Source organism: Homo sapiens, chromosome X (genome assembly GCF_000001405.40).
Source record: "Homo sapiens chromosome X, GRCh38.p14 Primary Assembly".
Classification (NCBI taxonomy): domain Eukaryota; kingdom Metazoa; phylum Chordata; class Mammalia; order Primates; family Hominidae; genus Homo; species Homo sapiens.
This window is the reverse complement of record NC_000023.11, coordinates 72593411-72619848: the sequence shown is the minus strand read 5'-3', so window position 1 is coordinate 72619848 and position 26438 is coordinate 72593411. Positions and strand designations below refer to the sequence as shown.

General features: G+C 35.9%; 1 protein-coding gene across 8 annotated transcripts in view; it reads left to right on the top strand.

Annotated features, from left to right (window-relative positions):
* PHKA1 (phosphorylase kinase regulatory subunit alpha 1) overlaps window positions 1-26438 on the top strand; it is a 135493-nt gene that overhangs the window by 94458 nt on the left and 14597 nt on the right. For 4 of the 8 annotated variants that reach the window (NM_001440788.1, NM_001440787.1, NM_001172436.2 and 1 more), the window contains 8 exons: window positions 544-635; window positions 1000-1139; window positions 8665-8821; window positions 10146-10225; window positions 14230-14308; window positions 14449-14578; window positions 16629-16730; window positions 17576-17691. In NM_001440788.1, the coding sequence (NP_001427717.1) occupies window positions 544-635; window positions 1000-1139; window positions 8665-8821; window positions 10146-10225; window positions 14230-14308; window positions 14449-14578; window positions 16629-16730; window positions 17576-17691 (896 nt within the window). Of the gene's footprint in view, window positions 1-543; window positions 636-999; window positions 1140-8664; window positions 8822-10145; window positions 10226-14229; window positions 14309-14448; window positions 14579-16628; window positions 16731-17575; window positions 17692-17819; window positions 17859-19982; window positions 20034-26438 lie in introns of all 8 variants that reach the window. The other 4 variants (XM_047442160.1, XM_006724661.3, NM_002637.4 and 1 more) reach the window with 2 other exon arrangements.

Sequence of the window (26438 nt, the reverse complement as noted above, 5' to 3'; positions counted from 1 at the left end):
AGTGGTGAAAATTACAAATCTTTCCTTAGAAGTGATGGTAAGTATTTCAACAATGAACTGTAAGTAAAAAATCTTAGGAATATCTCAAAGTTGGTCAGCAACTACATTTTTCTTATTCCCTAGATAGGATCATCCATTCACTTATTCTTAGGGAAATTTAACCACTAGCAGCCAGATATTCACCTAGAAAAGTTCGGAAAATAGAAAATGCAACTGAGTTCTTTCTATTATATGTCGTATTCCATCAAAGTATCAGTGAACGCACCATCGTGGATTAATCACATTAGTAAATTTAATATCTTACATGTCCAGCTAGTGCTATAATTCTAGAAATTCAATTCAAAATATACTTATTAATTGCACATTATTTAAATTATCTTATATTCATATTTATTTTCTTTGATATTACCAAGAAAGGAGAAATTTGTCATTCTTGTTCTATGAAGAACTGACTCACATGTGACTTAATTGTTGAAGTCAACTGTGCATTTCTATTAGTCTCCTAATTACCTAATATTTCCCATAAATGTCATATTTTTGCAGATGTTCACATGTATCTTCCTACGAAGTTATTTCAGGCTTCCCGGCCTTCATTCAACTTACTTGATTCACCTCATCCCCGACAGGAGAACCAGGTAAATTTGTGCAGGAGGTATTTCTATTAGCTTTTTGAAAAACTGCCATCTTTATGGGAAATAATAGGACTAGTCATTATGGTTCTTGTTACTAACTAGTGGTACGCAAAATGCTATTCTGGTGAAGATACATGTTCTTTTCAGTTCACTTTTACATTGGGCAAGTTTGTCTGGTCAGACTTTGGGAAAACTAGATTGCTGTATTATACATCTGGAAGGTTTCATTACTTTTGCTTTGCCTTTCATTAGTATTTAAAGAATTCCTTGGAAAAGGTTTAGAGGTGAAAATATGACTCATTCTAGGACATTATTTAAGTTGAGCACTTGTGAACTTAATTTCTTGTCATCATTTCTCAAACTAAAGGTTCCCTCTGTTCGTGTAGAAATACATCTTCCTAGAGACCAGTCTGGGGAGGTGGACTTTAAAGCACTGGTTTTACAGTTGAAGGAGACCTCAAGCTTACAGGAACAAGCTGATATCCTCTATATGCTGTATACTATGAAGTAAGTGGTGGATATTATCAATCTAGTTTAATGTTCATAATCAGAGGAATTATAGCATAATAAATAGAGCACAGCTTTTGGAGTTTCGCTGATCTGGAATTGAATATAGTTTAACAACCTATCCATCATGTGACTTCAAACCCTCAGTTGTCCTCATTTATAGAATTTGGATTATATATACCTCATAGAGTTATTGTAAAGATTAAGATATAATATCCATGAAGTCTCTAATACAATGCCTGGCACATGGTGGGTGATCAATAACTGATAAATATTACTGTCATTAGGTTATTTTTAAGCCTCCATTATTTGGTCAAATGTACAGATAAGTTTTTAACTCAAGAAAAGTAAGAATATAGAGGTTTATAGGAGAAAGAAACTAACATTTTTGTTTGCTATGTGTCAGGCATCCTGCTAGGTACTTTGTATTAGTACAAACTCAATATGTCCAAATTGAACTCCTCTCTCCTAAACCCCACAAGCTTACACAAAAATAATCTGTTCTCCCTCCTTTTCCATGTTGTAGTCACCATGAAGAGGCAGGATGGACTTTCTTCCCCTAAATTTGGTTTGGATGTTGAGATAGATGGTGACATACACATACCAAGAAGGTGTGGAATATTTATTACTCACATAATAAGGCTTTCTAGGAAGAGCAAAGAAGGTTCCCAGCTTGCTCCCAAAAAGGCTTGAGAGCCCAGGGAAAGGAGACTAAATTGGGGGTTTTATAATCATTACAGGATGAGCATTCTCACTGGCTTCTAGTTTTCTTTTTTTGTTGTGTCCTTGTTTGGTTTTGGTATCAGGGTAATGCTGGCCTCATAAAATGAGTTCGGAAGAACTCTCCCCTTTTCCTTTTTTTTTTTTATTTTTTTTATTTTTTGGAATAGTTTGAAAAGAATTAGTATTAGTTCTCTAAATATTTGGTACAATTCAGCAGTGAAACCATCTGGTCCTGGGCTTCCCTTTGATGGGAGACTTTTTATTACTGATTCAATCTCCTTTGTTATTGATCTATTCAGATTTTCTGTTTCTTCATACTTCAATCTTGGTAGATTGTATGTGTTCACAAATTTATCCGTTTCTTCTAGGGTTTCCTACTTGTTGGCATATAATTGTTCATAACAGTTTCTAACAATTCTTTTAATTTCTGTGGTATCAGTTATATCTCATCTTCTTTTTTTGATTTTGAAGTGAGGTCTCGCTCTGTTGCCCAGGCTGGAGTGCAGTGGCATCATCATGGCTCACTGCAGCCTTCACTGCCCAGTCTCAAGTGATCCTCCCACCTCAGCCTCCTGAGTAGCTGGTACCACAGGTGCGTGCCACCATGTCCGGCTAAATGTTTTTTTAATTATTTATAGAAATGAGGTCTTACTATGTTACCCAGGCTATATATCTCCTTTTCATCTCTCATTTTATTTATTTGGGTATTCTTTCTTTTTTTCTTTGTCTAGCCAAATCTTTGTTGATTTTTGTTTATCTTTTCAAAAAAACCAACTTCTCATTTTGTTAATCATTTGTATTGCTTTTTTAGTCTCTGTTTTATTTATTTCCACTCTGATGTTTATTGTTTCTTCCTTTTACTAATTTTGGGTTTAGTTTGTTCTTGTTTTTCTAGTTACTTTAGGTGTAACATTATGTTGTTTATTTTAGACCTTTATACTTTTTGATATATGCATTCATTGCTATAAACATCTCTCTTAGAATAGCATTTTCTGTATCCCATATCTTTTGGTATGTTGCATTTCCTTTTCATTTGCCAAAAGAAATTTTTGTAATTTCCTTCTTAATTTGTTCAGTGACCCCTTGGTTGTTTAGGAGCATGTTTAATTTCCTTGTATTTGTAAAGTTTCTGTGGTTTCTCCTGTTATTGATTTCTAGTTTTATATCATTGTGATCAGAAAAGATACTTGATATGATTTTGATCTTCTTCAATTCATTAATACTTGTTTGTAGCCTAGTATATAATCTACCCTGCAGAATGTTCCATGTAAAGTTGAGAATAATGTGTATTCTGTAGCTTTTGGATGGAATGTTCTGTAAATATCAATTAGGTCCATTTGGTCTAGTGTGCAGTTTAAATCCAATGTTTGTTTGTTGATTTTCTGTCTATGTGATCTGTCCATTACTGAAAATGGGCTGTTGAAGGCCCGTACTATTATTGTATTGTAGTCTATCTCTTCCTTTAGGTATGTTAATATTTGCTTTATATACTTAGGTGCTCCAATGTTGGGTGCATATACATTTACAATAGTTGAATCCTCTTGCTTAACTGATCCCCCTTATCATTATATGGTGACCTTCTATATCACTTTTTAGTGTTTTACTTAAAGTCTATTTTTTTAAGACAGTCTTGCTCTGTCAGCCAGGCTGGAGTGTAGTGCCATGAACATGGCTCACTGTAGTCTCAAACTCCTGGGCTCAAGTGACCCTCCAACTTCAGTTTCCTGAGTAGCTGGGACCACAGGTGCATGCCACCATGGCCAGCTGATTTTTAATTTTTTTTTGCAGAGCTGGGGTCTGGCCATGTTGCCCAGGCTGGTCTCAAACTATTGGGCTCAAGCCATCCTTCTGCCTCAGCCTCCCAGAGTGCTGGGAGTTCCAGGTGTGAGCCACAGCACCTGGCCCTGAAAGTCTGTTTTATCCAAGTAGAGTTACGTCTGTTGTCTTTTGCTTTCCATTTGCATGGAATATCTTTTTTCCATCCGCTCACTTTTAGTCCATGTATGTCCTCACAGGTGGAGTGAATCTCTTTTAAGCAGCATATAGTTGGCTCTTGGCTTTTTTTATTCATTAAGCTACTCTGCTTTTTAATGGGATAATTTAATCAACTCACATTAAAGGTAATTATTGGTAGGTAAGGGCTTACTACTGCCATTTAATTAATTGTTTTCCAGTTGTTTTGTAGAATCAATCCTTCCTTCCTTCCTTCCTTCCTTCCTTCCTTCCTTCCTTCCCCCCCTCCTTCTTTCCTTCCTTCCTTCCTTCCCCCCTCCTTCTTTCCTTCCTTCCTTCCTTTTTTATTTCTCTCTTACTATCTGTCTTTATGGCTAAGTGATTTTCCTTCATAATATGTTTTGATTTTTTGCTTTTTATTTTTAGCATATCTATTATATGTTTTTGCATTGTGGTTACCATGAGGCTTACAAAAAATCTTAACAATTTAACTATGATTACAGTAAAAGAGAAGAAAAATCTCTTTAACTCAACCTCCCAACATTTTGAGTTTTTGATGTCACAATTTAAAATTTTTATATTGCATATCCCCTAACAAATTATTGTAGTTACTATTTTTAATGGTTTTGTCTTTTAACCTTCATACTAAAGATGTAAGTAATTTACACACCATCGTTAGATTAATAGAGTATTCATATGACTGTGTACTCAGTGACATATATCTTCAGATGTTTTCATATTATTCATTAATGTCTTTTTCTTTCATCTTGAAGAACTCCCTTTAGCATTTCTTGTAAAACAGGTCTGATGGTTATATATTTCCTCAGCTTTTGTTTGTCTGGAAAAGTCTATGTCTTCTTCATTTCTGAAGTATTCTTGGCTGGCAGTTTTTTCCCTTCAGCACGTTGAATACCTCATCTCACTATCTCCTGGCCTATAAGGGTTCTGCTGAGAAGTCTGCCGTTAGGCTTATTAAGATTCCCTTATATGTTATTTGCTTCTTTTTTCTCACTGCTTTCAGAATTCTCTCTTTGTCTTTGATCTTTGACATTTTTATTATAATAGGTTGTGACATAGTCTTATTTGGAGTAGAATTTATTTTCAAATATATATCTTCCTATTGAACATGTCTAAAGTCAAATTCACTGTCTTTACTACAAACCTACTGCTGTTGTCTTTCCTGACTCTATTCTGGGTATCATCATTCCTTCAAGTAACCCAGACTTGAAATTGTGTCATTGTCTTCAATTCCTCCCCATCCCCTGCCTCTCGCTACAGCATCAACACTACCACAGGGAATCATTGGCCAAATCTAAATCCTCTATGATTTGACTTTCAACTTTTATTTACCATTGCTCTTCCCTTACAATGTGAATGCTGTCACCAAAACAGTCTATTTATCATACCCAAAGCACAGCCTCTACATGCCTACCTTCATACCTTGATTCTTATTTTTTCTTCTGCCTAGAATATTCTCCTTTACCACACTCCATTTCTACTTCTTGCATTTCTCTCTGTCAAGGCCTAGGTCATCTGTCACCCACATGAAACTTCCTCCAATCTGTAATAGTAAAAATAATCTTCCACTGATTCTGAGATCTCATAGCACTTTTTTCATATCTTTAAAATTTGACAGTGTCAGACTTGGAGAAAAGTTGTGAGGATAGTACAATAAAAATTCTGGATAGCCCTCCTTCAGATCCATCAGATGTTTCCACTGAGCTTTTAATCTCTCTCTCTCTCTCTTTCACGTTGATGTCATCATCTATACTCAATCACACACGCATATTATTTTTTTCTGAACCATTTGAGAGTAAGTGGCAGACACGATCCCCATCTAACCCTAAATAATTCAGTGTTTATTTCTGAAAAATTATGAACTCTCCTACATAAGCACAGTATAATTGCCAAAGTCAAGGAATTGTTTAACATTAAACCAATACTATTAACTATCTACAGATACTATTAAGATTTGTCATATAGCCCAATAGTGTCTTTATAGAAAAGAACATCTAAAATCATGAATTTTATTGAGTTCTCAGGTGTCTTGAGTCTCCATTTATCTGGAACAGTTCCTGAGTCTTCATTTTTCATGTTGTTAACATTTGTGAGGAATACAAACCAGTTATTTTGCAGAATATCCCTCAATTTCAGTTTATGTGTTGTTTTGTCATGATTAAATTCAGATTATACATTACTAAGGTAATGCCAAGTTCTTTTCCATGTGTCATATCATAGTGTTGATTAGTCCCATTGCTGATACTGTAAACTTTGATCGCTTGGTTGGATCATTTGGTTAAGGTAGATTCTTCCATGTACCTACACTGTAAAGTTATTATGTCATCTTTTGTAATTAAAAAAGTATCCTGTAGAGATGTACTTTGAGACTACGTAAATATACGGTTACTCTTCAAACTTTTGCTCACTGATATTTTTCATCCATTAATGACTCTTCCTATAGCACATTTTATTTCATGTTTTTTAATTTAATATATTGAATAGATATATTCCTATGGTTCAAAAATTTTTAAGTACAAAAGAATATACAGTGAGAGGGTAAAATGTCTTTCTCCCATCTCTGTTCCCCCAGATACCCTGTTCCCCTTCTCATGGGCAGTCAGTGTTGTGTGTGTGTGTGTGTGTGTGTGTGTGTGTATCCTCCCATGGACATTTATGGATATGTAGGTAAACACAGACATATATGGGGATAATTTTACCCCTATTTATCCAAAAGGTAGCATAGTATACACACAGCTCTACCTTGCTTTCTTTCACTAAAACTATATATCTTGATGATAACTACATATATATTCCAATTATCTATTGCTTCATAACAAATCACTCTGAAACTCAGTAGCTTAAAATAACAAAAATTTAAAAATTTTTAAATTATCTTTCACAGTTCTGGGACTTGCCTGTGTTCAGCCAGGCAGTTCTCACCTGAGGTCTCTCATTTAGTTTTGGTCAACAATTTCTGGGGCTGGAATCTTCACAATGCTTGCCCACTCATATGTCTAGGGGTTGATACTGGCTGTTGGCTAGAACCTCAGCTGAGGTTACCTACAGCTGGTACACCCACAGATGACCTCCTCATGTGTCTCTCCACATCTTCACAGCATGATGACTAGGTTCTACTAGTAAGTGTCCCAGCTGGGAGCTCTATTACTTTGTATAGCCTAGCCTCAGAAATTAGGTAAGTCACTTTTGCCTTAATCACAAGCATGCCTGGGTTCAAGGGAAGGGAACACAGAACTCATCTCTTCATGGGAGGAGTGCGAGAGTCACATTGTAAGAAGAGTAGGTTGGATAGGAAATTGTTGCAGCTATTGTTGAAAATATATTACCACAATCTAGATCTACTTCATATTTTCTGAATAATTGTGTCATTCCATTATTTGAATATATCATAATTTACTTAGCCAGCCTCTTATTGATGAACATTTGAATTGTTGCCAGAATTCACAATCACAAAAATGCTATGGCAAGTACCCTCATAGCATACAGCATTTCACGTGTGTGAAATTTATCATGCAAGTAAACCAGAACTCGAATTGATAGATCAAAAAATAGGTATTTTTTAACTGTACAATTAAATGGCTTTGAATGTATTCACATTGTTGTGCATTCTTCACCACTACTCATTTTAGAACATTTGCATTACCCCAAAAAGAAGCCCCACTTCCTTTATCCATCAACCCCCAATCCCTCCATTCCCCCAGCCCTAGGCAGCCACTAATCTACATTCTGTCTGTATAGATTTGTTTGCTTGGGACATTTTATATAAATTGAGTCTTGCAATATGTGGTCCTTTATGACAGGCTTCTTTCATTTAACATGATATTTTCAAGATTCATCCGTGTTGTAACATGTATCAGTACTTCATTCTTTTATTGCCAGATATTATATCCTGTATAAATATAACACATCTTATTTATCCATTCATCAGATGATGGACATTTGGGTTCTTTCTACTTTTTGGCTATTATGAATAATGCTGGTATAAACATTCATGTACAAGTTAATGTGGACATATGTTTTTATTTCTATTGACTGTATAACTAGTAGTGGAAATGCTGGATTATATGGTAATTCTGCATTTAACCATGTTAGGAATTGCCAGGCTGTTTTTAAATATTTTCAATACTGATATATATTTCCAAATAGCTCTCCAAAGGAATTGTCCAATTTTTATTCCGATCAGCAGCATATTGATGGTGCCTGTTTTCTCAAAGCCTCACCAAAATAGTGTTATCAACTTTAGGGACTTTTGACAATCTGATAGGTTAAAAATGTTATCTTGGTATAGTGCTAAGTTAAAGTTTTTCTAGGAGTGAGGTTGAGCACCTTTTCCTATCTTTAAAAGCCATCTATTTGTTTTGCCAGCAGTATTTGTTTTGCCAGCAGTATTTGTTTTGCCAGATTTTCTTTTGTTTTTAATTTTTTAAATCTACATGTTGGAGTTCTTTATATATAAGGGAAATTATCCTATGAATTGCAAACATTTTTTCCTAGTTGGTAATTTGTCATATGACTTTCCTTACAGTGATTTTTGAAATAATTCATTTGTTAAATCTTTGTCTTTAATTTCAACTATATTGAAGCCCATGAATAGGGTAAAAGAATGCATTTTGTCAAAAGCACAGCTAAAACTAAGACTTATTCTTGTGTAGGTACTGGCTTTCAGAGCTGACTGTTAATCATAGTTTTATAAGGATTCTTAGTAAATTACATTGATTTCCTAGTGAGAGAGACCTATCAAAAACAGGCATGTTCATTATAACACTGAAAGAAAAGATGATTGCCAGAAGCTTTACTTAAAACTGATGTAGTCCTGTCGTTAAAATTCTAGAGGACCTGACTGGAACACTGAATTGTATAATGAACGGAGTGCTACAGTGAGAGAGCTTCTTACCGAGCTGTATGGCAAAGTGGGAGAAATTCGTCACTGGGGCCTGATCCGATACATTTCTGGGATCTTAAGGAAGAAAGTGGAAGCACTTGATGAGGTACTATAAATTCTTGAATTTATACCAAATCTAAATAAGCGTGCTTTTTAAAAATTGGTTTCTATAATTGTTTTTTAAAACAACCATAGCCTCTAACCATTTGAGATGTCTTTTCCACATAAAATTTGATATTCAGTTCTTTTAGTTTGTGAATGACAAGTAAGAATTGTAGATTTATAAAATGTTATAAACCATAACATCTTTATAATGATATTAAGAATTCTATATCTTAAGAATGAATTTACACTAGGTTCCTACCTCCTAGAAAGGGAAACATCCATACACCATTAGTGGGAATGGAACTTAGTATAGCTACTTATGTAAAACACTATGGAGGTTCATCAAAAAACTAAAAGTAGAACTACCATGGGATCCAGCAGTCCAACTGCTGGGTATATATCAAAAAGAAAGGAAATCAGTATATGGGAGAGATATCTACAACTCCCATGTTTATTGTAGCACTATTCCCAATAGCAAAGGTATGGAATAAACCTAAATGTCCATCAGAAGATGAGCAGATAAAGAAAATGTGGTATATATACACAATTGGATATTATTCTGCATCAAAAATAGTAAAACCCTGTCATTTACAGTAACATGAATGGAACTGGAGGGCACTATGTTAGGTGAAATAACCCAGGCACAGAAAGACAAATACCACATGTTCTCACTCATATGTGCGAGCTTAAAAAGTTGATCTCATAGAGGTAGAGAGTAGAATGATGGATACTAGAAGCTGGGAAGGGTAGTCGGGAGTGGGGGATAGAGAAAGTTTAGTTAATGGGCATGAAAATACAACTAGATTGAAGGAATAAGATCTAGTATTTGGTGTCACAATAGGGTGACTATAGTTTACAATAATTTGTTGTAAATCTCAAAGTAACTAGAAGAGCAGATTTGGAATCTTGCCAACACAAAGAAATGATAAATATTGAGGTGATGGATGTCTCAATTACCCAGGTTTGATCATTACATGTTGTATGCTTGTATGAAAATATCACATGTACTCCATAAATATGTATAACTCTTATTTATCCATAAAAATTGAAAACTTAAAAATTTAAACAAATTTTTTAAAAAGAAAGAAAAAAACCCCATAAACCAACCAAACAAAAAAGTTCCTACTTTCTAGGAGATAGATGAAAAGACCTCATTGTTTCTTCCTAGAAATCCTTCTTTTCTGATCTTCATGGTATTTTCTGAGGAAGAGAGTTCAGTGTGTCATTATGTTAAAGAGGAGCAAAGGTTTTTCAGCTGAAAAGAGAAATGTTTGTGGAAACCTGAGGTGTTACAGAAACGATAATATTATGCTATCTCTTGTTAGGCCTGCACAGACCTTCTCTCCCACCAGAAACATTTGACAGTAGGACTTCCTCCAGAACCTCGAGAAAAGACTATCTCTGCGTGAGTATGGCTGGGTTTGGTCAGGCTTCTCTGAGAAGGAGTGGTGTGGACTTAGAATTCCCTTGCCCTAATCTGTCAGTGGATGATAATGTCCTACATATGTTCACCTCTATCAGAGACACCTAGTGGAAGAATGTTGGTAATGGTAGGGCAAGAGTAAATGAAGGAGAAAACTCACAGAGTAGTACTCAAACTCTTTTTACTTGTTGGATTTTCCATACCTGCCATTCAAAAAACAAAACAAACAGGGTACCCTGAATTAGCAACCACAAAATGTCAGCCATACTCTGGAAAGAGCAAGTGAAAGAAAGTGGCTAGAGCACAGGGCTGACCATGAAACTCCATGCTGCTCATGGGGAATAAAGGGGATGGAGGTCATAGTCAAAGAGGAAAAATGGTTACTTACAGAGCAATGTGAGGTAGCACCCCTCCAGGAACCCTGTAATCAGAGTGCCACTGTCTGAGGTCTGCCACAGCCTCCAATTGGAAACAGTACCCTAAGATAGGCTTGGCCTGGAGGGAGATGTAAGTCAAGTGATGGGGCTGGGATGGAAAATTCAGTCTTTATACATGAGTCTTCCTTTTGCCATTGGCCATGCCAGTAAAATTCATCTGCAGTAAATGTGTTTAATTTCATATCACACCAGTGCCAAAATTTAAATCTTGCAAACAGTCTGTATCTCCAAGAAATATTTTTAGAGAGATTCTAACTTCATTCATAAATGATCTGAAGAATCTGTTTTTCTACTAGGAGTAATTTTTAAAAAGGGTATTCCCCCCTGCTTGCCAGTTCTACTTCTGTAGCCAATGTAGTTAAAAAAAAACTTTTGTCAATATTTCTCCCTCATTTTTTCCTGGTTAAACTCTATCCAGAGCATGTTTTTTGTTTACAAAATTTTTTTTACTACATTGGCTACAGAAGGGATACTTTTGCTGATGTCTGCATACTCCTTCCTTCCTGGTTTATGTCCATGATTTCTGTTACCCTTGAGTTCCAGTTCAAGCTCCCATATGAAGGCTTAGAGAAACAAAAGTTCCAGCAAGCTTCACCACCGCGGGCTTAAAGTGCTCTGGGTACTAAATAGACTCAAAAAGCAGTCTAGGCCACAAGGACTGCAATTCCTGGGCAAATCCTTGTGCTATGCTGGACTCGAAGCCAATGGACTTGGGGTGCATGCGGCCTAGTGAGACATCAGCTAGAGTGGGCAAAGGAGTGCTTGTGCCACCCCTCTTCCAACTCCAGATAGTGCAACTCTGGGAGAGAATCCTTCCTTCCACTGAGGAGAGGAGAGGAAATAGTAAAGAGGACTTTATCTTGCAAGTTGGATACCAGCTCAGCCACAGTAGGATAGGGCACCAGGCAGAGGCATCAGACTCCCATTCCAGTCCGTAGCTCCTGGATGACATTTTGACACATACCTTGCACCAGAAGGGAACCTGCTACTTTGAAGAGAAGTACCCAGTTTTGGCAGGATTTATCACGTGCTGACTAAACAGCCCTTGGGACCTGAACAATCAGCACAGTGACCAGACATTCTGGTTCCAAGTGTGACCAAACACATGCCCAGCCGTGGTGGGTATAGGGAGAGACTCCTTCTGCTTAAGAAAAGGAGAGGGAAGAGTAAAGGGGACTTTTTCTTGCAGCTTAGGTACCAGGTTGGCCACAGTGGGGTAGAGCACCAAGCAGGTTTTTGAGGTCCCGGATTACAGGCCTGGCATTTGGCCTAGGAACTGCTAACAAATGTACAGTGCAGTGGTGGTTCAAGAAGTTTTGCAAAGGAGATGAGAGCCTTGAAGATGAGGAGCATAGTGGCCTGCTATTGAAAGTTGACAACGACCAATTGAGAGCAGTTGTTGAAGCTGATCCTCTTAAAACTGCATGAGAAATTGCCGAAGAACTCAGCATCGACCATTCTACAGTCAGTCATTCAGCATTTAAAGCAAATTGGAAAGGTGCAATGGGAGAAAATATTTACCAACTACCTATCTGATAAGGGATTAATAACCAGAATGTATAAGGAGCTCAAACAATTCTATAGGGAAAAAAATCTAATAGTCTGTTTTAAAAATGGGCAAATGGTCTGAATAGACATTTCTCAAAAGAAGACATACAAATGGCAAACAGGCATATGAAAAGGTGCTCAACATCATTGATCATCAGAGAAATGCAAATCAAAACTACAGTGAAGTATCATCTCACCCCAGTTAAAATGGCTTTTATCCAAAAGACAGGCAATAACAAATGCTGGCAAGGATGTGGAGAAAAGGGAACCCTCATATATTGTTGGTAGGAATGTAATTAGTACAACTACTATGAAGAACAATTTGGAGGTTCCTGAAAAAAGCTAAAAATAGAGCTGCCATATGATCCAGCAATCCCACTGCTAGGTATATACCCAAAGAAAGGAAATCGGTATATTGATGAGATATCTGCACTCCTGTGTTTATTTCATCAGTATTCACAATAACCAAGATTTGGAAGCAACCTAAGTGTCCATCAGTAGATGAATAGATCAAGAAAATATGGTACATATACACAAGGGAGTACTATTCAGACACAAAAAAAATGAGATCCTGTCATTTGTAACAACATGGATGGAACTGGAGGTCATTATGTTAAGTGAAATAAGTCAGACACAGAAAGACAAAGTTCACATGTTCTCACTGATTTGTGGGAACTAAAAATCAAAACAATTGAACTCATGGAGATAGAAAGTAGAATGATGGTTACCAAAAGACTGGGAAGGGTAGCAGGGTTTATGGGCGTTGGGGGTGGAGATGGTTAATGGGTACAAAAAGTAGTTGGAGAGAATGAATAAGATCTTGTATTTGATAGCACAATAGGGAGACTATGGTCAAAATAATTTAATTGTGCGTTTTAAAATAACTGAAAGGGTGTAATTGGATTGTTTGTAACACAAAAGATAAATGCTTGATGAGATGGATACCCCATTTACCCTGATTTGATTATTATATGTTGAATGCCTGTATCAAAAATCTCATGTACCCCAGAAATATATACACCACTATAGACCCACAAAAATTAAAAATTAAAAAAAAATTTAAAGAAAAGAATTTGAGGAGAGGACATAATTCAATCCATAAAATCTTGCTTCTGGAAAAACAATCTTTTTTGTATCAGTTTTGTGACACTGTAGGTAATCCAAAGAAGATGGCATGGTTCATGCCCCAGAGTGCTTTGTGTCAGCAGGAGAATCAGAAGTGTGTGAGGATGTGTGTATACGTGTGTGTGTGTGTGTGTGTGTGTGCATGTGTGTGAATTGAAACTATAGAAAATCAAACAACTCTGTCAACTGTGATTGTAAAGTAATAAAATGGCTTCAAAAAGGCACAGCTAGTATTCCATTGTAGGGGTGGGATGCTGAAGAGATGTTGGTTAAAGAAGGAATACATTCTAATGTTCAGTAGCAGAGTAGGGTGACTATTGTTAACAACAATGTATTGTATATTTCAAAATAACTAGAAGAGAGGACTTGAAATGTTCCCAGCCAAAAGAAATAGTAAATGCTCAAGGTGATGGATACCGTAAATACCCTGACTTGATCATTACACATCCTATGTATGTAACAAAACATCACATGTACCCTGTAAATATGTAGAAACATTGTGTATTACAAAAAAAGCACAGCTTAAAATTAATTTAGTACTTTGTAGCCATAATAGTTACTTGTCAAATGTTCAAAGCTAACTATGAAAGACTAGTCTAGAAGAACATCATGGTGTGAGTTTTAAATAAATTTTGAAGGAGGAAGAGAATCCAGATTTAGAGAGAAGAGAGCAGAGCTCCTCTAAGTTGATATGGGCCAGAGTGGTTTCAGGAGGCAATGAATGAGCTTTGAAGTTTGAAAGAATCAGAATGCTATTGGTAATGATGAAATGTTGAGGCAGTGACTTGGACTTGGATAAAGCTTCTTCATTTTTTCAACATATTTAAGATTAAGTGGTTGTAGAATATTGTCTTTCTTTGCTGTCTTTTTCCTTAGACCTCTGCCCTATGAGGCGCTCACTCAGCTGATAGATGAAGCCAGTGAAGGGGATATGAGCATTTCAATCCTTACACAGGTGAGAAGAATTGTAAAGGCTAATCTGGTGACTGATATTTTAAAGTTTGTTTTCAATTGATCTAGCAATTTCCAAAGACAACAAAATAGGCATTGTGAGACCTAGGCCATTATTTTTGTCTATATCTACTCTGTGTGCAGGAAATAATGGTATATCTAGCCATGTATATGCGAACCCAGCCTGGCCTCTTTGCTGAAATGTTTCGACTTCGAATTGGTCTGATCATACAAGTTATGGCAACAGAACTGGCCCACTCCCTTCGATGCTCAGGTACTTAATTCAGTAACTATTTTAGGTGGAATTCACTTTTGATGTAAGTTTATAGAGTTTGGAATAAGGAAAGAAAGAAAGCTAAAACATTTTTATCCATAGCTCAGAAGCTGGATATGGCAACCTTGTTCCCCTGTTGGTCACTATTTATGCAAGTCAAGGAGCTGATATGATGACACATTTGTGTATCAGTTCGCAGCTTCAGAATGCCATCTCCTGTGGGCTCTTCACTCCAAATCCCTCTTGACTTATCACTCGTTGCTAACTTCATTTCTCTAACTCTGGAGAGTATTTGAGTGTGACAGACAGAGTTGGGTTAAGATTTAGGCAGTGGAGCGTCTGTACACCAAGAATGAGTCACTACATCAGTGGATCATGGTGTCAGTATTCTGTCTAGTCACCATCATGACTGAATAAAGGAAGATGACATTTTCATTAACATCTATCTGACAAGACTCTCTTTGAAATTAACTATAGGTGTATTTGGCAAGATAAAAGTTTTAGTTAGAAGAATAGTTGGAGCCTGTGAAAGCTGTAGGGCAAAATGGTATAAAGTGTGAAGGGGAACAATGGACCCCTATGACATGACTCCTTATTCCATTAGTATTTGTTTGATTTCAACAAGAATTGCAAAATAATACAGATAGGGATGGCATAGAAAAATAAAATCAAAGTTGTAAAACTCAATTTTAGCCATTCTTTCTGTTAAATTTCCCCCAAAAGACTTTTAATCAAGCTGTTAACAAGTAGCTAAATTTATCAATTTGAGTCAAACCTAACTCAAACACATGAGATAATTTATATTTAAGTAACCCTTTGACAGAAGAGAGCTAACAATTGTTTTATACCTACCATATGCCAGATACTGTGCTTTTTGCTTTAAGTTTACATATATTGTGTCATTTAATCCTTTCAAGAATCCTCTGGAGAAGAAGGTATTATTGTGTCACTTTTACCAATAAAGAAACTGAAACTCAAGAAGGTTAACTAACTTCCCCGAAGCAACATAGCTAGTAAATAGTGGAATTTGAGTCTGAGTCCACCTGATTGCAAATGATTTCTAGTTCAGTACATTGTTATAGATAAACATTATATAGTATAATGTTGTTTTTTTTTTTGCGAGAGAGTGTGATTGCTCAATAATAAACCTCAATAAGGGATAAGCCCCTGAATATTCACTTTTCCTTAATTTAGCCTGTTATATTTCTTGTTTTCCTGTGGATTCATGAAAACCATGGCTCTTTATTCCTTATAGGATAAAGTCAAGATCCCTGGGTCTGATGTTTAATACCCTCAACAGTCTGGCCTTTATCTTCTACTCCCACAGTACTTCCCACTAATTTTGTCAGTTCCAGTCCTTGGAGATTGATGTCTCCATTGATTTCAAAGGCAATTATTGTCTATACCTCTCATTTGGCACATAGAATATGCAATGTTTTATTGTTTATCTTGTTTTCATGTTCCATCACTCCCAAAGAGATAGTCAGACTCAAGATTAGGTATCATGTCGTCATACCTGCTTGCACAAATGTTACTTAAAATGATGACCTGCATGTAGTCTACTTTTAATAAATGTGTGATGCTGATTAACATGTTCAAGTTATCCTCATATATTCATAATTTCATGGATTCAAATCTATCTCTTTTAAGTCTCTATTATTTCCAGGCTGAGAAGTTTTAATTATTTTAGTTTATCTGCATATATACATTCATTGTCTTTCTCTGAATGGCCTCCAGTTCCATTGTTCTTCTTTCATTCTTCCCACCTTCAAATAAAGATTTTACTAAGTACCCTAATGGTCTGGAAGCAGGGTGAAGAAGAAATCAATTACCTCGCTAATCCACAAACTGGATAGTCAGTCCTTAAATAATTAAGAATCTATGGAAGTAAGAATACCTAAGCAGTAGGGTGCTATCAATTTATTTTGTAATTCTGTTCTTCCAATCAAGTGACTCAGAAATTCTAAGCAAGAAAAGAAATAGAGAAAATATAGAGAGGGCATGGCAGGCAAATTAGAAGTCCTTCTGTTCTAACATTTCTGCTGACTAGCTGAGGAAGCCACAGAGGGCCTGATGAATCTCAGTCCTTCGGCCATGAAGAATCTCCTGCATCACATTCTCAGCGGCAAGGAGTTTGGAGTGGAACGAAGCGGTGAGATTGAATAACTGCATTTTCATTTCATACTGTTTGGTTTAAGTGTCTCATTGGTTTTAAAATGTTTTTCCTTCATCACAGAAACCTTTTTCCCCAAATAAATAAACTCCAATATATAAAACAGAAACCAAGCTGTCTTCTGGAACAAGATTTGGAAACCACTATATTTTTCCTTAAATGGTATATCAACTAAGTGGATTGATTACTATCATGTTTCATTTTTAACTGTTTAATGCATTCCCTCACATTATCTTAAGCCTCCACTTTAGGACAACTAGCAACCCATATCATCTGAAACTTTCTTGTATTCTAATTGGCAATAATTCAGTAGCTCTTACAGTATTGTATTATGTGTATAGCTGCTTACAGTACTTCTAATGTAACCCTTCAACTTTAAACTCACAAATTAATAGTCCACCTACATTTGTGGTTTTGGTTGGATTTGGCATTGCGTACCTAAAGCAGCAGAGCAAATGAAAAGTGGTCATCTCTCATGCTCAACTTTCAAGGTTAGGGTAAGTAGATATATATGGTCAGATGGATGGATGTCAGACCTTAGAGTGGTAAAAGAAAGTTGAAAAGCAGTGCGTTTCAAGAAGGGTATCTTGCTAAAATGCACATTTTGATTCAGTAGATCTGGGGTGGGACCTGAGATTCTACTAACAAACTTGTAGGTGGTACTGATGCTGTTGGTCCATGGACCACATTTCAAATAGCAAGGTTATAGTTTTTAAATTAAGTTAAAAATAAGGATATATATGAAAGTTTTTTTTAAATGTGATGGGGAAGAAATTGAACCTTATTATCCTCTCTCTTTCTCTGTAATCTCTCATACTACATAGTTCGTCCCACTGATTCAAATGTCAGTCCTGCTATTTCTATCCACGAGATTGGTGCTGTTGGAGCAACCAAAACAGAACGAACTGGGATCATGCAGTTAAAAAGTGAGATAAAGCAGGTAAGATACTACCTGGGAGATTAGCTGGGATATTGCCATGTTTCAGAACATTCTTTTGGAATCAGACTTTGTTGGGTCATTTATTTTGTTTCACATTCTGAGTTTAATTTGAGCCATTTATGTTTCAGGTGGAATTTCGTAGACTGTCAATCTCAGCTGAGAGTCAGGTGAAACAACTAGGGATCATTTAACATGGTTTAACTTACCTTTAGTTCTGTATAACATGCATGAGCTCATGGCCTTTTTACAAATAAGATAACAAGTCATGGAGTAGATTGTTTGAATCGCCTTTATAACAGTCATTTTGCAGATAGCTTTCCTTTTTCTGGACCAAAGTACTTTGTTAATTTTAGAAGGAAAGTAACTTGCATCTGATAATAAGAAATTGAAGTTTCTCTTATTAGGACTGATGTAATTTTGGAATTAATTTTCTTTATAAAACAAGACTTAGACTTCAAGCAAAGAGTCTTTGCTTGGCCAGAGTTTAGGTGGGCTTCTCAACCTTTTCCTAGGCCCATTTGTGCACTTCCTTGTAAAATCCAGCTTTAGCAAGAGAACCCTGCTAAGTCAGTTTAGCCAGAAACTCCTATCCTCGATATCTTATCATCCTTGACATCTGATCAGGCTCCTCATCTTCTACCACCCCCAGGTGATGTCCAATCACCCTGGCCTGTCTTCAGCAAAAATCCTGTTAAGATGGTTTAGCCAGAATCCTCCCTACCTCTGATGTTTCCCTCTTAGTAATTTTCCACCACTTGGCTATAAATTCCCACTTGATTATGTTGTATTCAGAGGGGAGCCCAATCTCTCTCCCTTACTGCAAGACCTCATTGCAATGGTTCTGTACCTATTAACAATGGTCCTGAATAAAGTCTTCCTTACCGTGCTTTAACAAGTATCATTGAATAATTTTTTCTTTAACAAGATGTAGAAAAGGTGCTGTGGACACAGAGGGAGAAACATCTAAATCAGTCTGGGAGATAGTGGGAGTCACTAAATACCATGTTGTAGCCTCTTAATTTTTCCTGCAGGTGAGAATAGAGAGCGGTTGCTTTATACAAGGAAATAGTTAACAAAAGCTTCCATAGCTTCTTTTTAAAACTCTAGGAAGTCATGTGGTTTCAAGATCTCCAAGTTGAGAAATTACTGATTTGGCCTCTCCTAGAAGCACATTTTATGAAAAGCTTAAAACTACTCCTGTTTTCAGAATAGAATTATGATAGCTTGCAGTATTGAAACCCCCAGAAGAGGAGTGGTGAAATGGAAATTTGGAGTTTTGTTTTTAGTTTTCGTTTCTTTTTTTTAGCTTTTTAGCACTGGGGTCTCACTATGTTGTCCAGGCTGGAGTGCAGTGGCTATTAACAGGCACAAAATCCTGGATTCACGCAATCCTCCTACCTCAGTCACCAGAGTGGCTGGGACTAAGGCATGCCACCACCTTGCTATTTGGTTTTTTTAAAAGGAATTAGAAACCATTTAGGAAGACAATGAGCCAGTGCTTGAAGCTTAATTTGAGGTAACTTGAGTACACTCATCAAATACCCTATGGCATTTATATTTATGCAAGAATAAGTATGAAAATGGAGTAAGAAAGGGCCTTGTATTCACTTTACAGTTTTCTCGAATAATTTGAATAATCTGAATATTTTCCTATTTGAAACGTGAAAGAACTACATTCAGTACTGAATAGTTAGTTACATTGGCATTATCTGTAAATAATCTTTGATTTGGTTGAGAGTTATTGGATAAACATTTTATAATTGTTGATAGTCACTCAGTATTACTTATAAGTTCATTATATATTTACAACTTGAAGTACATGTTCCCAGCTACATTAATATGATGTTGAGACTTGATCTACCCAGCTACATCATTTAAGTTTTTTCTAAACATTCACTACCTATAGGTTTTCAAGGGAGCCAAAATCACTAGGACTATAATTTAGAGGATTGAGAGTCCTAAATTTGCATTACTTTCTTATTTCTAAATATTAACTTCCATCCTCACCTGCCTGTCTGGTATTTTGTATTGTTCTAAGCCATTTTTTCCCTATCACTCAAGAATGCCCTCTTTTCTGATTATGAAAAAAAAAATTATAAGGGTATTTTTATTTCTTTTCCCTTCACCATGGCTTCTAGGGTAAAGCTATTTCATCAGCTTTTTAATGATTATGTGCTGACTACATACTGAAATAGTCTGTATTTTTACTCCACTAGTGACTTAAAAGTACAAATAATTGTTTCCTGGCCTCATATCTTTTAAAATTTTATTTTCTCAATTTGTTCTCATAGTCCAATGGTGGTCATCCCCTGGGTATAGATTTGATGTCACCGTCTTTTATGGTAACTGCTGTGATCTTCTCGTATATGCCATTCACATGTGCTTTGAATATGCTCTTATATAAATCATGACATATACTGGTTGATTAAAAAAAAAATTAATCAAGAATTAAAATAAGTATAAAGCAATTTCATATATGGGGGTGAATCTTTTCATTTATTTTCCAATAACATAGGGAAGGGAGTTCAACTCCAACCTCTTTGCGATTTCAGAAAACAAAATTCAATTTGCTAAGTATTGGTTAAGTATAAATTCTTGGTCCCACCCTAAGTACACAGAGTCAGAAAGACTGCGGATGAGGCCCAGTAATCTGTTTTATTTAGATGATTCTGATGCATTTTTAAGTTTGAAAGCCACTGGGTTAGCTTTTCTTCTGATTATGAATTCATTTAGTAAATATTAATTGAGTGCCAGTTTTGTGCCAGGCACTGTGAACAAAATGGATGTGGTCTTTGCCCTCGTGAAGCTTACAATTTAGGAGGACTGACCTCTAATTAAATTTATTTGGTTTAAATCAAAGACTCATAATGGCCTATGATTTCAGATTTCTCAAGCTGAAGAGATTTAGGCTAGACAATTACCAAACAAAAAATGGAAAATTATTCGAAACAATATTAGTATTTAGGTTAACCTAAATCAAATACCCTGTAATGAACTAATAAGACTTGGCCAACTCTATCATATCCACACTAACATAGGACAGGGGTATAGAAGAAAATTTAAAAACTCAAAATGATTGATATTTGGCTTTGGAAAACAGTCTGAATTGTACTTTATCAGATCTATACCCTTTCTGGTTTGACCTCACAATCAACAGCCTAGGATCTTGGTGGTATAAACAAGACAATGAAGATAATTAAATGGCAGTTCATCTACTCAATAGATCAGTGCGATAGTCACTTGCCAGTAGAAATGTTTGGGGGCTCTTTTCTTTTTTACATTGCATTGGTTGGTGATTTAGGCATTTGGCCCAAATTAAAACGTGAGAAGTTATTTTCTCAGAAAATATTTCTATTATCTTCTATCTTATATTTATTTCTGAATTTAAACTGTTAACCACTTTGCCCAATGTATTTTATCCTTTACTTAGTATAAGTTTTTCAAAGTTCATTATGTTTTAGCATGTATCAAAAGTTTATTTTTTTCATTGCTGAATAATATCCTACTAAATTAATGTACCACATTTTATTTATCCATTCATCAGTTGATGGACACCTGGATTGTTTCCACTTTTTGGCTGCTATGAATAATTCTACAATGAACCTTCATGCACAAGTTTTTGTATGGACATATGTTTTCACTTCTCTTGGATATATATCTAGGAGTGGAAGTCCTGGGTCATATGGTAACTATGTGTCGCATTCTGAAGAACTGCCAGACATGTCCAAAAGGGCTGCACCATTTTACATTCCCACCAGCAGAGTATGAGAGTTCCAATTTCTTTACATCTTCACCAACCCTTACAATTGTCTTTTTTATTATAGCCATCCTGATGGGTGTGAACTGGTATCTCGTAGTGGTTTTGATTTGCATTGCCCTAATAGCTAATGATACTGAGTGTCTTTTCATGTGCCCAATGGCCATTTGTTTATCTTCTTTAGAGAAATGTCAATTCACATTTGTACCTATTTTAATTTTTTTTGTCTTTTTATTGTTGAGTTGCAAGGATTCTTTATATATTCTGGATACAAGTCCCTTTTAAGATATAAAATTTGCAAATATTTCTCCCATCCTGTGGGTTGTCTTTTCACTCAATACCATTAAGTATTCTTCAAACAACAAAAATTTTTGATTTCCACAAAGTCCAATTTGTCTATTTTTTCTTTTGTTAATCATGATGTTTTTGGTGTCATATCTAAGAAGGCTTTGCCTAACCCAAGGTCACAAAGATTTATTCCTATTTGTGTTCTAAGGGTTTTATAGAGTTAGCTGTTTTATTTAGGTCTATGATTATGTATGGAGGGATCCCCAAGATCACCCTCAGATTTAATGATTCACTAGGAAGACTCATAGATCTCAGCATATAGTCATACTCACTGCTACGGTTTATTACACCTAAAGGGTACAAGATGCATTGGGCACAGTGTAACTACAGTCAACAATAATTTATTGTACATTTTAAAATAATAAAAAGTATAATTGGATTGTTTGTAACACAAAGGAAGGATAATTGCTTGAGATAATGGATACCCCATTTACCCTGATGTGGTTATTATGCATTGTATGCCTGTAACAAAATGTCTCATATACCTCATAAATATATAAACCTACTATGTACCTACAAAAGTTAAAAAAAATTTAAAAGAGTCATTGGTCAAAGTCTAGGGAAAACAGACACAAGCTTCCAGAGTACTCTGTCAGTAGAGTCACCCTGCAATGAGTTGTGACAAGATGTCATTGCCAACCAAGGAACCTAATAAAGACTCAGCACCCATTGTTCTTGTTGAGGGCTGGTCACGTAAACAGCCTCTGTCTGGCGTGTATCAAAACTCTGGACTCCCAGAAAGAAAGCAAACGTTCAACATAAACCATAGCGTTTGTACAGTTTAGGCATGGTAAGCCACTGTTATTAGTTCTGGGAATGGTGAGAACTCTCCCAGAATCCAAGTTTCTAAGTTTCTAAATGCCAGCCAAGGGCCAACCTTGTAAGCAAGCCTTTCCAAGAATAGCAGTTCTGGCCTACTGTCTTAACTCTTTTCTGCACAATGGGCTTAATTTTTGTGTGTGGTATAAGGTAGAGTTCAACTTCATTCTTTTGCATGTGGATGTCACTGTTCCAGCACCATTTGTTGAAAAGGCTATTTTTCCCTCATTTAATTATCTTGGCGTCCTTGTTGAAAATTAATTGACCAAAATATAATGGTTTATTTTTGAACTCCCTGTTCTATTCCATCGATCTATATGTCCATCCTATACCAATATGACACAGTTTTGATAGTTTTGTAGTTTTGATAGCTTTAGAGTAAATTTTGAAATCAGGAAGTGTGAGCTCTCCAACTTCAGTCTTCTTTTTAAATATGAATGTTAGGATCAGCTTGTCAGTTTCTGCAAAGATCCCAGCTGGTATGTTGATAGAGATTGTGTTCAGTCTGTACATCAGTTTTTGAAATATTGCCATCTTAATGATGTTAAGTCTTCTGACCCATGAATATGGAACTATATTTCAATTTATTTAGGTCTTTAATTTTTTTCAACATGTTTTATAGTTTTCAGAGTATTTGTTTTGGACTTCTTTTGTTAAATTTATTCCTACATATTTTGTTATTCTTAACGTTATTTTTTAATGGAATTGTTTTCTTAATTTTATTTTAATATTGTTCATTGCTGCTGTTTACAAATACAACTAATTTTTTTATTATAGTAAGACATTTAACATGAGATCTATCCTTTAAAAAATTTTTAAGTGTACAATATAGTATCATTAACTATAGGCTTGATGTTGTACAGTAGATCTCTAGAACGTTTTCATCTTACATAACTGAAACTTTATACCCATTGAATAGCAAGTTCCCATTTTCCCCTCTACCCAGCCCCTGACAACTACCGTTCTACTCTCTGCTTCTATGAGTTTGGCTGTTTCAGATACATTACATAACTGGAATCATACAGAATTTGTTCTTCTGTGACTGGCTTATTTCTCATAGCATAGTATCCTGCAGGTTCATCGACACTGTCATATTTTGCAAAATTTCCTTCGTTTTTAAAGTCTGAATAATATTCCATTTTATGTATTACCAGATTTTCTTTTGCCATTCAGTTGTTAATATATATTTAGGTTGTTTTCATATCTTGACTATTGTGAATAATGCTGCATTTGAACATGGGCATGCAAATATCTCTTCAAGATTCTGACTTCAATTCTTTTGGATAAATATCCAGAAGTGGGATTGCTGAATCATATGGTAGTTCTATTTTTAATTTTTGAGGAACCTCCATAATGTGTTCCATAGCGGCTGCAGCATTTTACATTCCCAGCAACAGTGTACAAGGGTCCTAATGTCTTCACATTCTCACCAATACCTGTTATCTTTGGGTGTTTTTTTAACCACGGTCATCCTAACAGGTGTGAGGTGATAGCTCATTGTGGTTTGATCCGCATTTCCATGATGATTAGTGATGTTGAGCATCTTTACATGTGTGTGGTGGCTATTTGTATATCATCTTTGGTGAAATGTCTACTCAAGTAAAATTTAATTGATTTTTGTTATTGATCTTATATCATGAAACTTCACTGAACTCATTTATTAGTTGTAGTTGCTTGTTAGTGAATTCCTTAGAATTTCTATATACAAGATCATGTCATCTGCAAATAGTTTTTACCTCTTCTTTTCCAATCTGGATGCCTTTTATTTCTTTTCTTACTTAATCTCCCTGGTTCAGGCCCCCCATAAAATGTTGAATACAAGTGATAAGAGTGGACATTCTTGTCTTGTTCTGATCTTCGGGGGGAAGCCTTCAGTCTTCAACCACTCATTATGATGTTAGCTGTGGGTTGTTGTAGGAAAAAAATCTAAACTTTTATTAGATTGAGGAGGTTCCCTTCTGTTCCTAGTTTGTTGAGTGTTTTTATCATGAAGGTGTGTCGAATTTTGTTATGTGTTTTTTTCTGTATCTATTAAGATGATGCGTTTTTTATCTTTTATTCTGTTGATGTAGTGTATTACATTAATTGATGTTCAGATGTTAAAACAGCCTTGAATTTCTGGAATCAGTCCCACTTCATGTTGTATAATCCTTTTAGTATATCACTGAATTTGGTTTTCTAGTATTTCCTGGAGGATTTTCGCATCTATATTCATAAAGGATATTGGACTGTAGTTTTCTGGTGACATCTTTGTCTGATTTTGGTATCTGGGTAATATTGGCCTCATAGAATGACTTGGGAAGTGTTCCCTTCTCTTTTCTGGAAGAGATTGTGAAGAGCTAGTAATAATTCCTCTTTAAATGTTTTGTAGAATTAACCAGTTAATCCATCTGTGCATGGGCTTTACTACTATGTGGGAACGTTTGTTTATTTGTTTGTTTGTTCGTTTGAGACAGAGTCTAACGATATCACCCAAGGTGGTCTCAAACTCCGGGGCTCATGCAATCCTTCCGCCTCAGCCTCCCGAGTAGCTGGGAATACAGGCACAAGCCATATGCCCATGCACCACGAGCCAAGAACCCATACTTTGAAGGAAGTTTTGTACTTACTAATTTGATATATTTGTTTGTAATAGTTCTATTAAGATGTTATCTTTCTTTATGAGTTGGTTTGGGTAGTTTGTGTCTTTCTAGGAATTTGTCTGTTTCATTGAGATTATGTAATTTGTCCGCATATGGCTGCGGATGGTATGCCCTTATAATCCTTTTTCTTTCTGAAGGTCAGAATTGAGGTCTTTATTTCCCCTTTTTTTCTTGGTCTTTCTATCTAATGATTTGTCTATTTTGTTGATATTTTCATAGGAAAAAATTGGGGATTCATATGCTTTCCCTATTGTGTTTCTAGTCTCTATTTCATTTCTTTCCACTCTAATCCTTATTATTTCCTTCCTTCTGCTTGCTTTCAATTTAGCTTGCTCTTCTTTCTTTATTGTCTTCAAATGGAAAGTTTGTTTATTGATTTGAGACATTTATCCTTTCTTTAATATAGGCATTTATAACATAAATTGTTCGTTAAGTGCTGTTTTAGCTGCATCCCATAAGTTTTGCTATGTTGTGCTTTCGTTTTCATTCATTTCATTATTTTCTAATTTTGCTAGTGATTTTTTTCCTTAATGCATTTATTATTTAGAAGTGTGTTAATTTCCACATTTGTAAATTTCCTTAATTTATTTCGATTACTGACTTCTGTTGTGGTTAGAGAACATACTTCGTATGATTTCAATTTTAAATTTATTATGGCTCATCTTATGGCCCATGAGGGCAACAAACTAAACCATGGACGAGCTAGAAGTTTAACAGAGATAATCAGGTCAAGAGACAGCTAAGAATGTCCCAAATCATCAGTATTTTTATGACTTTTCTCATGTATCACCAGATTGCTTTCAAAAAGGATTGTACCAGCGTACAGCACTGCTAGCTACATATAAGTCTACTAGCTTCACTATAACCTCTTTGTCTTGGCTGCTTCACTTAATATTTGGTTTATAATTCTGCAGAGTAGGTTTATTGTTCACTATAAAGTTCAAAGACTTGGGCCGGGTGTGGTGGCTCACGCCTGTAATCCCAGCACTTTGGGAGGCCCAGGCGGGTGGATCATGAGGTCAGGAGATCAAGACCATCCTGGCTAACATGGTGAAACCCCGTCTCTACTAAAAATACAAAAAGTTAGCCGAGCATGGTGGCAGGCGCCTGTAGTCCTAGCTACTCGGGAGGCTGAGGCAGGAGAATGGCATGAACCCGGGAGGCAGAGCTTGCAGTGAGCC